The following is a 12,876-nucleotide window of genomic DNA, read 5'->3' as shown; positions in this document are numbered from 1 at the left end:
GGCAGGACCTCGACACATCACCTACATCACCACGTGTGTTGACTTGTGCAACATTTATACCGCTGTATCTCCAGGCCAGGCCTCATTCCCTGCAAGCCTCCTGCGTCTCTACCTACCACCCTCCACCTCTCCAGTAGACGTCTCACCCGCAGAGCAAACTCAACAGCTCGGCCACACCTGAGCTGCCGTCATCCTGCTGAGACCTGCCCCAAGGCCTGTGTCTGGCTGGGGGGTGTATCCAGACTTCCCTTGCTTCATCTGGCCCTGAACCTGAACATCGTCCCCCATGCCCCTCATGCCCCAGCCAGGCCGCCAGCAAGGCCGCCTCCACCCTATTTCCAAATAGGGTCCCCTTCACAGGTACCGGGGTTACAACTTAGATCTGTCTTTGGGGGACATCTGAAATACGGCTTGACCTGCTCAGCCCCAGCGAGTGAGCATGCTGCACCTTGTCCTCTTAAAGGATCGGTGTCATTGGGTCATGCCCCTCCTCGGCTCTGAATGCTGCACAGGCCCCTCCTCCCACTCGGGGTTAAAGCCCATGGCCTTGGCAGTGGTCACCCAGGTACCATGAGCTGGGCCTGCAGCCCTGGCTCCAGCTCCCAGCCCCTCCCCCACTCACACTGCCCCAGCCCAGCCCTGGTGCACCCCATAGGCCTCTGTGCCACCTGCTCGCTCTGCTTGGAATGCCCTTCCGGCAGGTTCTCTAAGGCTCACTCCTCACCCCCTCATGCTGCCTCTCCTCCACGAGGCCCCCATGCAAGGCCCCCCTACTTGAGCCCTCCCATGAGGGCCCCCTTCTCCATGAGATCTCCCTCTCCATGAAGCCACCTACAAGGTCCCCTTCCAGACCCCCCACCACGAAGCCCTCCTTTCCATGACGCCCCCCACCTGAGGCTCCCCTCTCCATGAGGTCCCCCTGCAAGGCCCCCCACTCCACAAGGCCCCCGCTCCATGACGCCCCCTTCCATGAGCTCTGGGCCACTGTCTGAAGCTGCACCCAGCCTCCCTTCCTGCCCCAGCCCTTTCCATCCCCTTCTCCGGCTCTGTTTGTTGCTGTCCCCCAGTGTCCATCTGTCTGTCTAGCAGACAGTCGCCTGCTGTCTTTGTAGTTTATCACCCATCTCCCTCCCCCACGCCACCTCCCAGTGCAAACACGATGGGTAGGCAGATGCAGCTGCCTCACTCACTGACACATCCCAAGCGCCCTGCCCAGTGGAGCTCGATCGGTTTCTGTAGCATGAGTGAATTCATTTGTATTATTCTAAAGAAAGAAAACTCCGTCTTTCCATACAGTTAGCAAATATGAAGACCACCAGGCCAGGCCAGGCCAAGCGGAGCGTGCACGTCCCGGGGTGTCTCCGGCCTGCTGTGCCACTGGGGGGCTTTTCCTGCATCTGCTCCTTCTGTCTCACAGCACCTGGGGCAGCCGCCAGCATCGCCCTCTTCACAGATGAGGAAACAGAGACCCAGAGACACAAGATCTCCTGCCCTCCTGCCCAAGGCCACCCCAGGCTCGGGGTAGAGATGGATTTAGAAGCTGTGGTCCACCCATTTCCACCCACCTCTGCCCTGGGGGAGGACAGGGATCCTGAACTTTCTTGCAGGGAGCATGAGGTGAAGGCGTAGGCCCCTCTCCAGCTCACTGACCCCAGATTCCACTGTCTCCCTGGGAAATTCTCGGCTACAGCAAACTCTGAGTACTCAGGATGCACCAGCCAAAGGCACCTACTGCACACAGGAAGCCGAAGCCTGGGGAAGTGGCCCAAATCCCTACTCCACCCACCCTGGTGGCCACTCAGCCCCGGCAGGAGGGAAGCGCTGAGGAGATGGCTACCGAGTAACCAGCCCACGCCTCTGAGGGCCTCCCCGCAACTCCTTCTCCCTCAAACTCCATTGTCTCAATCCAGCACTGGCAGGGGCTACTGGGCTCCATCAGCAGCAAAGCAAACCAGTGCACCCTCTGTCCTTCATAGAGGCCTCCATGCTGGGTAGACCCTCTCTCCCAGGCCTGTCTCCAGTGGCCCAGCCTTGTCCAGAATGGGACGGACCTTCCCACCCTCTTCCTTGCTGGCCTTCGCTAGAACCTTCCCTCCAGCCTCAACCCCAGCTCCCTCTTCTCTGTGCGCCCATCACCTCCTCCAGGAAGCCTTCTGGGCTTACCATTCCCACCAGGTCCTTGTTAAAGCCCCTCTTCTGCTCCAAGTTAGGGGTTAACCCAGGAGGCCACACCTTCTGTGCTCCTGCAGCCCCCACCCATTGGTCAGAGAACAATTCTATCTGACTGCGGTGTGGGCAACTGGACACAAGCTTTGCTTTGGGAGCAGTGACCATTCTCCAGAATGGAGGCCAGTGGGGCCGAGCCAGCAGTTGACTGACTGCACCCGTTGGTGGGGGACAGGGTTGGTGGCGGCCCCTGCTGCAATACTCATGTGTAAATTCACATCCAGTGTCTGCCCGGCAGCCCAGGGTGGCAGGAAGAGTCACAGTCAGGGCCTCAGAACCTCCAGGAAGCAGCTCGGCCAGGCCACCTCTCAGTTCCTGTCTCCCGAAAGCCTGGGCTGGTGGAGGGCCCTGAGCCCTCTGACTCTGCAGCTTTGTCTGTGAGTATGAGCCTAGAAAACAGGGTGCACTGGGGTGAGCAGTGCTCCCCTAAAAGGACACATCTAAGTCCTATCCCCCAATACCTGTGACAGTCACCTTATTTGGAAATAGGGTCCTTGCAGGTGCAATTACCTATGTTAAGATGAGGTCACACTGGAGTAGGGTGGGCCCTAAATGCGATGACTGGGGTCCTTATAAGCAGCGGAGAAGAGACAGACACGGAGGGAAGCCGGCCGTGTGAAGGCGAAGGCAGCGATCAGAGTGATGCGTCCACCTGCCCAAGAAATACCAAGGAATGCCAGAGCCCTCAGAAGCCAGGAAGAGTCAGGGAATGACACCCCCACCCCGCAGCCCCCCGAGGAGCCAGCCCTGCACACCGTGACTTCAGACTTCTGGACTCTAGAACTGGAGACATAATTCCTATTGTTTTCAGCCACCCAGTTTGTGGTACCGTGTTATGGCAGCCTGGGAAACTAACAAATGGGGCTGTTCATCACATAACTGCCAGCACAGGCATCTTTCTTTTGGTAAACATTAAATAAGATCATCAGTGTACGAATAACCTGCAATCATTCATTCATTCATTCATTCCTTCACTCATTCAACAAATAGTAACTGGATCTTAATCAGGCCACCTATCATTTATCAGGAATTACTCTAAACGTTAGGATCCTGATTGTGACCGGCAGCGTGCACATATATACAGTGCATTGCTGCAGGAGTGAGCTCTAGGCTGGGCCCCAGGAAGAACTTCAGAGCAACACTCCCGAGCCACTGGGCAGCGGAGCTGTGGCCTTTGCTCTGGGCACCGTTACTCTGTTGGTGGGGGGACCACTGGGAGGGTGCAGAGTGGGCGGTGGGAGGGGACAGCTTCACCCTGAGCCTCCTGCAAGTGGCGGTCATATGCACAGGGAGCCTATGGCTGCAAACAGCTGAAGACTGGGGGAGGCTGTTAATTCCTCTGGGCCTCCCGGGGCCGATGTCAGAGCATTTGCTTAGTCATTCAACACACACCTGCCTGCCCCAGCCAGCCTGAGCCTGGCACTTCTCCTGGGCAGCTGCCGTGAGGGTGGTAATGGTGATAACAGCAGGAGCAGCTGAGTGGTGGGGCCCCAGCTCTGCTCCGTGGGCTTCATCTGCATTAACCCTCTCAATTCTCCTTCCCACCTGGGGAGGTCAACCAGCAGGAGATCCACAGCTGGGAGACACAGGGTGGGGGCTGCCCACCCCCAGGTTGCTGGCTCTGAAGCCCTGCTGGTGACCAAGTGTTGATTGCTTTACTAATGAGGTTGCCATACTCATGAGGAGCCCCACAGCAGCTGTGCCTGCACCCACCCGCCCCCCAAATACAGGCAGATTCCACCCCCATGTCGTGTCCTCAGAGCAGGGAGCCCCGTCCATGAGCAGACAAGGACAGACACCCCAGGCATCACAGGGCTGTGAGTGTGACCCCAAGTGACAGTGCAGACACCCCACACCTGCCTGGAGTCCATGGGTCCAGGGTCATCCGTGAGACTTTGAAGGGCGGGGAAGGATCAGAAGCCGTGGGGGCTTCAGCAGCCTTGGCCAACGGCCTCCCTCCTGCACTCTCACGGTCCCACACCGGGGTCAGGGTCACTGTCCCTCCACACGGCTTTGCTCCAGTTTTGGGGCAAAGTAGACTTTAAAGCTCCATTTTTTTAATAATTAAAAAAATCACCAAAACAAAATAGAGAGGAGGGAGGGGGTGCGGGGGATCCTTCCCCGACAGGGACAGGGATGCCTGGCTCTTAGGGAGGCCGTGGAGCAGGGGTTTCCAGGCTTCACCGTGGAGGAGGCCTGCTGGCTGGTGGGGCAGCCCCGTGAGGACAAGTGGGTGGCTGAGCCGAGGGCCGGGAGGAGGGAAGCTTCCTCTAGGTCTGGGCTGGGAGTGGGTGGTGTTGGGGTGTGCCTGTGTGTTTATACAGCACGTGGGGCTTTGCAGTAGTGTTGGAGAAATGGATCCCAGGGAAGCAGGACCTCTGCCCCGCCCCTGGCCCCTCCAGCCGGGGCCCCTCCACCTCTGCCTCTGTCTGCCCTGTGGCTGGGTGATGAGAGGTGGCTTTGAAGGGGAAGCGGTGGCCAGGCCAGGAGCCGGCTGTGGGGGAGGGCAGGGGTCCTGGGAACACTTAGTCCCTTATCACTGATCAAAGCCAGGAGGTGCCGCCGACAGGCGAGGTGTGGCCCCACCTGGCTCTCATTAGGCGCCCGCAGCCTTGTTCCTGCCGGCTCTGCTCTGGCTCACAGGCGCCCCAAGACCAGCTGCCCTGTGGCGGCCCGGCCATCACACCTGGCAGAGGGACTCACAGGCCACACACCAGGCACCAGCGAGTGGACTCCGCAGCCCTGCACATGGCCACATGCCCAGTCCCGGCTGCCTCTCCCTGCAAACCCGGCATTGGTGGAAGCTGAAGGCAAAGAGATTGATCCTGCAGCAACCCAAGGGCCCGGTATCCCCAGGGCACTGTTCCCAGGGTGCGGCAGGAACCTGCGAGGAGGGGGAGGGGTGTCTTCTGTCCACAGCGCATTCTTCCGGACATTCTCCAGGTGAGCTTCAGCATGAGGAGGGTGGCGGGACTTGTCTTGGGCTCGTACCCCAGCTTGCCCTCCTGTGTGACCTTGGGCAAGTGGCGCAGACTCTCTGGGCTTTGGAACAGTGTGCATCCGTGAGAACCACATTGGGAGGAAATTTGCCAGCTGTAGAGTCCCACACATGAGTGTCAGTTGTTGTCCTTACTCTTAGCAGGGGGGCTTGTGTTGGGGAAGCAGGCGCATCTGAGAATACCCATCCAGGGAGGAGGGGCGGGCCAGCGGAGACGTCCACCCTCGGTTGCTCGGCTTTTGGATTCAGCCTCTTGTTTTCCTTTCCCCTCCCTGACCGTGGCCTCTCGGTCCCCCAGTGGCTCCTCCTGTCTCCTGACTGGAACCTCTCTTGGCAGCCTCCCCATTAGCCCTGCTGGTGGACACCACCTCCATGATGCTCCCGCCTGGGTCTACCCTGAGCCTGGACCCTCGGGCCTGCCACCCACCTGCCCCTGCCATCCCCGGCCCTCCCGCCCGCCCCATCACGGGGTTTAGTGCTGCCAGCACCCTCCATTGACAAATGACATCCAGGATCTCAACACCTGTCCCCAGCCCCACCGAAACTCCCAGTCCATCTCTCTGTGTCTCTGTCTCTGCCTCTGTCCCTTTCTCCAGGTCTCTGTCTCTTTGTTCCCCTCTCCTGGTCTCTCCCTCTCTGTCCTCCAGACCTCCTCTCTCTCTGTCTCTCTCTCTCTGTTTCTCTGGCTCTCTCTTTTCCTCCTCCTATTTATTCTTCTATTCCTCCTCCTTCTCTTCTTCCTCTTTCTGCTCCATCTCTCTGCTCTGTCCTAGGAACATTCTAGAACAACTCACTAAGGAAAATCCACAGTCCTAATTTGACTTGGGTCTCGGTCCCTCCTTCCCCCATGGTTCTTTTCAGCCTGATTCACACAAAAAGGGAGGCTTGGTGGCCCCACTGGCTGCAGCCCCAGAAGGGAGGAGAACCGGCCAGCCCTCTCCTCTGCAGCGCCCCTGCTGTCCCCGCCCCCTCTTCTCTGCAGGGGGAACGGCATTCACAGGAAGGGCCACCACCAAAGAGGAAACTGAGGCATGGATGGGCATCTTGGGCTGGGCCCGGCTTTGCTGTCGGTGTGCTCTTGTGTGAGGGGGTTGGGCAGTGACCACACCTATCAGAGCACAAGATCGGCTTCAGCACTGCTCCAGCCAGCTGCCGGAGAGTGGCCACCTAGTGCACACTCAGCAAGGCCTCAGCAGACCTTATCCAGTTCCCCGACACGTGGAAAGCAGGCGCAAACTCCATGGCTTACACCCATGGGACCCAAGCCAAGGCTTTGCACGCCAGCCCCTGCCCCAGCCTCAGTTTCTGCTCCTTTGAAATGGGCATCATCCATCCTGCTCTGCACAGCTGAAGGCCCAGTCCCCAGAGGAATCGGGAACACACCCCCTGGCAGTGTCTGTCTCCTGGATTCCCTGAAGGCTAATTCAGAGGTACAGGCCCTGCCTAGGGGCCTCCTGGCTTCGTATGTCTGTCCCCTTCCCCACTGTTCACCAGTTCGAGGCTCCTTTCAGCACAGCAGCTGCCTCTCAACATCCCTATGTGAGGCCTCCTCTGACTGCTTTAGGTCGTCCCCAGGTTCTTGGGTGCAGCTGGTGGAAAGGTATGAGCTTCAAAGTTGAGTGTGACCCCATCATTTAGGGTTGGAGAACAGGTGGGTGGGCGTGGCTGAGCCCCCCAGGAAGGGTACTTCTGGCTGAGATGGAGTCTCTCTCTGTCTCCCAGGCTGGAGTGCAGTGGTGCGATCTCAGCTCACTGCAACCTCTGCTTCCCAGGTTTAAGTGATTCTCCTGCCTCCCGAGTAGCTGGGATTACAGGAGCACACCACCACACCCGGCTAATTTTTTTGTATTTTTAGTAGAGACGGGGTTTTACTATGTAGACCATTAAATTATGTTCTTAAAAGTTAAGAGTCTTTCAGGAGAGTTATGGATCAGTTTGCAATCCTGAGAAAATGCGAGGTAAACAAATACAACCCCCTACTTCCCCACCAAAAATAATCATATTCAGATGATCAACCAAGCCATGGTACCTTCTTTACAAATATCTAGAAGAAGCCCAAAAATGATTGCCACATGCCATCCATCGTTGATTAAGCCAATGCGTTTCAGTCATCCTTCATTTACATCCTGACCTCCTAGTTTCAAGACAGCACCTTGAGGGCCAAGGTGATGGAGCATTTTAGAAAATGCCTGCATCAGCACAGGCGTAACTGGTAAGCAGCTCCGGGTGCAGCGGTGGTCAAGAAATTGGAACAAATGTTTAGTATTAAAGGGGTCTAAGTGACGGGGGGAATTTCATATGTTATGATTTATGCATCCGTCATTCCAATCATCTTAAATAAGAAAAATGTTGGTTCTTAGTTGCCACCGAGAAGTATCTGGTCTCTTTTAGATGAAGGCGAGCCACACAGAGTGACGGCTCAGCTCTGCTGCAAAGCTAACACTTGCCTTATTATGTACCTGATAATTCAGACAAGATTTAATCAGGCAATTCGTTTCTAATACCCATTCGGTATTGGCTTTCTGTTTTGAATTTGCCTCTATACATGTAATATCCAGGAAGACTATCTGTCTTTTGTTAAATGTTTTTAAGTTCCACATTTTCAAGTTACATACAAGAGATAATCCAATCAGTAAAGTTAAACCAATGGAAACTGGTAGAATTATCAGATTTTTTTCCCAGCGGGGAGGGAAATAAATAATGTATTTATATAGTGTGTATCTATTCATCTATGTTATATATTTATATATGTATTATATATTATATATTTATAGGTCATATATATTAATCTCTAACTTATTAAATAATAAATTTATGTATGACAAACTTAACTATATACTTGTTTTATATACTTTTATATATAGATATCATTTTACTATATGTTGTGTGTTATTAGATTTGGGTCCAAAAAGCTCTTTACAAAAAATTACTCACTCACTTCTCTAGATTTTGTAAAACAGGACACATTTCCATTGAAATGGGTAACACCGTCTGCGGTGTAAGATTTACAGTAAGGTTTACTGTCTCATGTAAAGTGTTCAATAGCTCCTTCCCCAGGCCTCTCTTTGGGCCAGGCCCTGGTCAAATCTCCACCCTCAATATGAATCAGGCAGGTCCAGTGAAAGGACACAGGGACCTTTCACTTCCGTGGGAAAGAGCGGTGGAGATGGGGCAGGGACGAGTCAGCTCAGGGGGTTCCTCGGGGAGGAGTTTGCTGGGTGTGGGTGTGCTTAATTGAGTCTTTATTTCCATTTCGGGAAGCACCTAAACTCGTTTTCTAGGCTTCCTTGCTGAATCTGCAGTTTTGAAGGTTATCCACTCATCTATTTATTCAACAAATGTTTATTGAGCACCTACTATCTGCCAGGTAGCAGGGCCAATCTTGGCCCTAAAGTTCTGAGCTGGGAGTAAAGAATACTGAGGGAAAGCCTGTGAAACGTAAGGTAAGAGCTGTTCTTGTTTTGTTTTTTAAAATGCAATAGGAATCATCCTGCTTTTAAAATCATTTTGGATCAGTCGAGTTGTATTCATTGTATACATTCAATGTATTCATCGATTCTTTCCTGGCTTTATTTGCCCATTCAAAAATATCTGTTGAGTGACAGATATTAATACAAATAAAGAACTGCTTCAAAGCAGTGTTATCTGCTAAAAAGCTTGTGTGTCTAGTCACTGTCTCTGGGCTTGAATTTCCAAGCTGGAATCTTTGGTGAAGGTTCTCTTTGGAAACCTCCCAGCTACAAAGACAAATGAGTGGTTGATTTTATGGACAGTGAATATTCGGCGCAGCTCCAGAGCATCTGGGCCGTATGCTGCCTGTTCTGAAACACCCTGAGAGATGGGGGCACCTTTGGACATTTTTAAAGTGTTCTTCTTCTAAAATTTTGATAAGAACCGGAGACACGGAAACAAAACAATATCTTGCCCAATTGGATCCAGAGACTAAAGAGACATTCCTGCAGCGTTTGCCGCTGTCTTAGTCCAAGAAGCTCTGGGTAACTTTTCACAAAGTGGAAGGGAATTAGCCTTAGTTGACGATTTGTGTATTTGGGTTTGGGGTAAATTCATTTCTTTTCCTTCCTGCTTTACCTAACTGGAATATCTGTTGCACTCCCCTCACTTAAATTCATAGATATTTGTTCAAAGTTTTCATTCCCCTAATTTGCTTTGACCTAGAGACTGACTTGAATAGATTTTGAATAATCTAATGACATAGCTTCCTGGGGCGTGGGGGGCTCACATGTTACCAGCTTTGATGGGGAAATTAACTATTCCTGATTTATGGATCCCTCATACTGCTCAGGAGAGAAACCTGTATGGTGAACATTTTTTTTTTCCCAAGGAGAACAGGGGAGAGAGATGAAGCAGGAGATCGTGTCTGTAGAAGGCTGCAGTCCCTCGTGCAGAGGGCACCGGCCTAGGGGCTTCACATATAGACGCCTTTTCTAGCTCGGCAACTTTGTTTTTATTTATTCATTTATTTTTGAGACAGGGCCTAACTCTGTTACCCAGGCTGGAGTGCAGTGGTGCGATGACAGCTCACTGCAGCCTCCACCACCCAGGCTCAAGCGATTCTCCTGCCTCAGCCTCCCTGGGTACCTGAGATTACAGACGCCCACCACCATGCCTGGCTAATTTTTTGCATTTTCAGTAGAGACAGAGTTTTGCCATGTTGCCCAGGCTGGTCCTAAGCTTAAGCAATCCGCCTGCCTCAGCCTCCCCAATGCCAGGATTACAGGCATGAGCCACCGCACTCGGCTGGCAACTTTGGATGAATCACTTGATCTGTTGAAATCTGAGTTTCTTCATCTAAGAAAATAATATCGAACCAAAACCTCTTACAGGGCTATCACGATGTGCAGATGAGGCCACGGATGTAAACATGCTTTGAAAACACTGAATACTACAAAATATGGGGGATGAGCATTAGTTAATTAACATAGAATTTTTGTGATTTGTCAATCACCTACTATGTGCCAGATTGGACCCATACATATACATTTCCAGAAGAACAAGGAATTTCAAGCTTAGTTATTTGTTGGGATTTTCACTTCTGGCATAACAGGTACTGGATTTTCCCTCCCAGTGTAAACAATGATGAAACGGTAGAGAACATGTGAGGCCACTGTGCTCAGATATTGGACAACAGGCAGAGCAGGTTTGTGGTTCCCCAGAGAAGAGGAGCAAAGGAGGTGGGTGAGCTTTGTCTGCCCTCTCCCTCCTGGAGCCCACGTGGAGCTCCGAATCTCACTGAGCTGAAGAGAAAGAGACTGGAGCTTGAGCTGCTGAATTTGGGGGGCAGCGTATCAGACGAGGGAGACACACAGATGAGCAGCCCCAGCAGCCCCGTGAGGTCAGTGCAGATCCTCGTCTCAGGCTGTGCTGCACATGTACAGGACATGTCTTCATAAGCCACCACAGTGATCGTCCATCCAGTGCTTAGCTGCGTGCTATGCTGGGTTTCCAGAGGCTGTGAAGTGCAGGGAGACATGGGATTCTGGATCAGTTAGAGTGCCAAGAATTCATTGAGCACTTGGACATTTGGTTGAGACCCATAAAGGCCATGCCTTAGGAGTAAGGATCACACCCTAGAGGAAGGACCATGCCTTAGAATTAAGATCAAACTGAAGTACACCCCCCCAACAAAGAATAAAGCTAAGCCCCACAGAATAAAAAAGATTTACCAGTAATTTAGCTGCCTGCCAGAACAATGCTCAACATCCTTATAACATAATCCATATTATTTACAATTTTATAATGTCCAGAATACATTAAAAATTACTAGACATACAAAGAAGCAAGAAACTATGACCTATAATTTAAAAGAAAGCATTACTAGAAAGAGATCCTGTTATAGTTCAGATGTTAGAAATCTAAAGCAGATAATATAGATATGTTTCAGTCTATCTCTGCCTTTTATATTTACATTTAATAAATGTATTTACACTTAATATAATTATTGATATGGTTAGGTTTAAGTCTGTCCTATTTTTCTCTTTGTTTCATTGAATTTTTTTGTTCCTCTGTTGTTCTTCTGTTTCTCCTTTACTTTGGGCTAACTAAATATGTTTAGCATTCTGTTTTAATTTTTCTCTTGGCTTTTATTTATTTATTTATTGAGACAGAATCTCTCTCTGTTGCCCAGGCTGGAGTACAGTGGCATGGTCTCGGCTCACTGCAACCTCTTCCTCCTGGGTTCAAGCAAGTCCTATGCCTCAGCCTCCCGAGTAGCTGGGATTTCAGGTGCCCGCCACTGTGCCCAGCTACTTTTTGTATTTTTACTGGAGACTGGGTTTGCCATGTTGGCCAGGCTGGTCTCAAACTTCTGACCTCAGATGATCTGCCCACTTCAGCCTCCCAAAATGCTGGGATTATAGGTGTGAGCCACAGTGTCTGGCCTTTATTTTGGCTTTTAAAAAAGGGTCCTTTTGTATTATTTTGAGTGATTTCTCTGGGGATTACAACATGCATCATTAACTTAATCAGAATCTACTTGGAGTTGATGTTATACTGTTTCATGTGCAATGTAAGGATCTGACCACTGCCCAAGTCCATTCAGCTTCCCTCTCCTCTGTAGGACTGCTGCCATTACCTTACCTCTGTATACAGTATGATGCCCCCACCAATACAATACCATATTTGTTGCTTTAAATCTTCACTGCCCAATACGATAGCCACTAACCACATGTAGTTATTTAAATTTAAATTAACAAAATGAAATAAAATTAAAGATTCAGTTTTTCCATCACTCTCGCCACATTTTCAGTGCTCAGTGATCACCTGTGGCTATTGGCTACCCTGTGAGACAGCACAGATGTGGAACATTTCCGTCCTCAGAGAAACTTACTGTGGACAGATCTGCTTTAAATAGCTCATTGACTTTCAAAGAAATTGATAAGTACAAGGTAGTCTTTCTTATTTATCCACAGATGTACTCTTTCTAGTGATCTTTCTTTCTTCCTATAGACCCATGTTCTCACCCACTATAATTTCTCTTCAACCAAAAACAAAACAAACAAAAAAAACAAACAAGAAACTTTCTGTAACATCCCTTGGTGTGCAGCTCTGTTGGCAACAAATTCTCTTGGGTATTTTTGATCTGCAAACGTCTTTCTTGAGGATATTTTTGATGGATATGTAATTCTGGGGTCGCAGCTCTATCTTTCTTTCTTTCTTTCTTGTTTCTTTCTTCTTTCTTTGTCTCTTCTTTCTTTCTTTCCCTTCCTCTCTTTCTTTCTTTCCTTCTTTCTTTCTTTCTTTCCTTCCTTCCTTCCTTCTTTCTTTCTTTCTTTTTCTTTCTTTCTTTCTCTTTCTTTCTTTTCTTTTCTTTCTTTCTCTTTCTTTCTTTTCTTTCTTTCTTTTTTTTTCTTTCTTTCTTTCTCTCTTCCCTTCCCTTCCTTCTTTCTGTCTCTCTCTTCTTTCTTTCTCTTCTCTCTTTCAATTCCTTAAAGATGTTGCCCTTATGTTCTGGCCTCCATAGTATCTGCTGAGAGATCATCATCATTGATTCTTATTGTTGCTTCCCTGTAGTGATGTACACTTTTCGTTTGGTGCTTTTAAGATTTTTTCTTTTCTTTTTTCTTTTTATTTTTTGGATTTTTCTGTTGTTTGCTTGTAACATGCTTAGGGGTGGTTCTCTTGGGCTTACCAAG

General features: G+C 50.4%; 5 annotated features.

Annotated features, from left to right (window-relative positions):
- Nucleotides 174–877: an enhancer, noted in NCBI's record as "H3K4me1 hESC enhancer chr4:8731043-8731746 (GRCh37/hg19 assembly coordinates)". NCBI's record gives its function as "activates a minimal SCP1, AML or CMV promoter by ChIP-STARR-seq in primed H9 embryonic stem cells {active_cell/tissue: H9 hESC(primed)}" and the evidence as "EXISTENCE:reporter gene assay evidence [ECO:0000049][PMID:30033119]".
- Nucleotides 2,289–2,994: an enhancer, noted in NCBI's record as "H3K4me1 hESC enhancer chr4:8728926-8729631 (GRCh37/hg19 assembly coordinates)". NCBI's record gives its function as "activates a minimal SCP1, AML or CMV promoter by ChIP-STARR-seq in primed H9 embryonic stem cells {active_cell/tissue: H9 hESC(primed)}" and the evidence as "EXISTENCE:reporter gene assay evidence [ECO:0000049][PMID:30033119]".
- Nucleotides 3,761–4,373: an enhancer, noted in NCBI's record as "H3K4me1 hESC enhancer chr4:8727547-8728159 (GRCh37/hg19 assembly coordinates)". NCBI's record gives its function as "activates a minimal SCP1, AML or CMV promoter by ChIP-STARR-seq in primed H9 embryonic stem cells {active_cell/tissue: H9 hESC(primed)}" and the evidence as "EXISTENCE:reporter gene assay evidence [ECO:0000049][PMID:30033119]".
- Nucleotides 5,801–6,301: an enhancer, noted in NCBI's record as "H3K4me1 hESC enhancer chr4:8725619-8726119 (GRCh37/hg19 assembly coordinates)". NCBI's record gives its function as "activates a minimal SCP1, AML or CMV promoter by ChIP-STARR-seq in naive H9 embryonic stem cells {active_cell/tissue: H9 hESC(naive)}" and the evidence as "EXISTENCE:reporter gene assay evidence [ECO:0000049][PMID:30033119]".
- Nucleotides 6,302–6,802: an enhancer, noted in NCBI's record as "H3K4me1 hESC enhancer chr4:8725118-8725618 (GRCh37/hg19 assembly coordinates)". NCBI's record gives its function as "activates a minimal SCP1, AML or CMV promoter by ChIP-STARR-seq in naive H9 embryonic stem cells {active_cell/tissue: H9 hESC(naive)}" and the evidence as "EXISTENCE:reporter gene assay evidence [ECO:0000049][PMID:30033119]".

This window comes from Homo sapiens, chromosome 4, assembly GCF_000001405.40.
Source record: "Homo sapiens chromosome 4, GRCh38.p14 Primary Assembly".
NCBI classification, from domain to species: Eukaryota; Metazoa; Chordata; class Mammalia; order Primates; family Hominidae; genus Homo; species Homo sapiens.
Note: the sequence above shows the minus strand (reverse complement) of the source record. Positions and strands in the feature narration are given on the sequence as shown.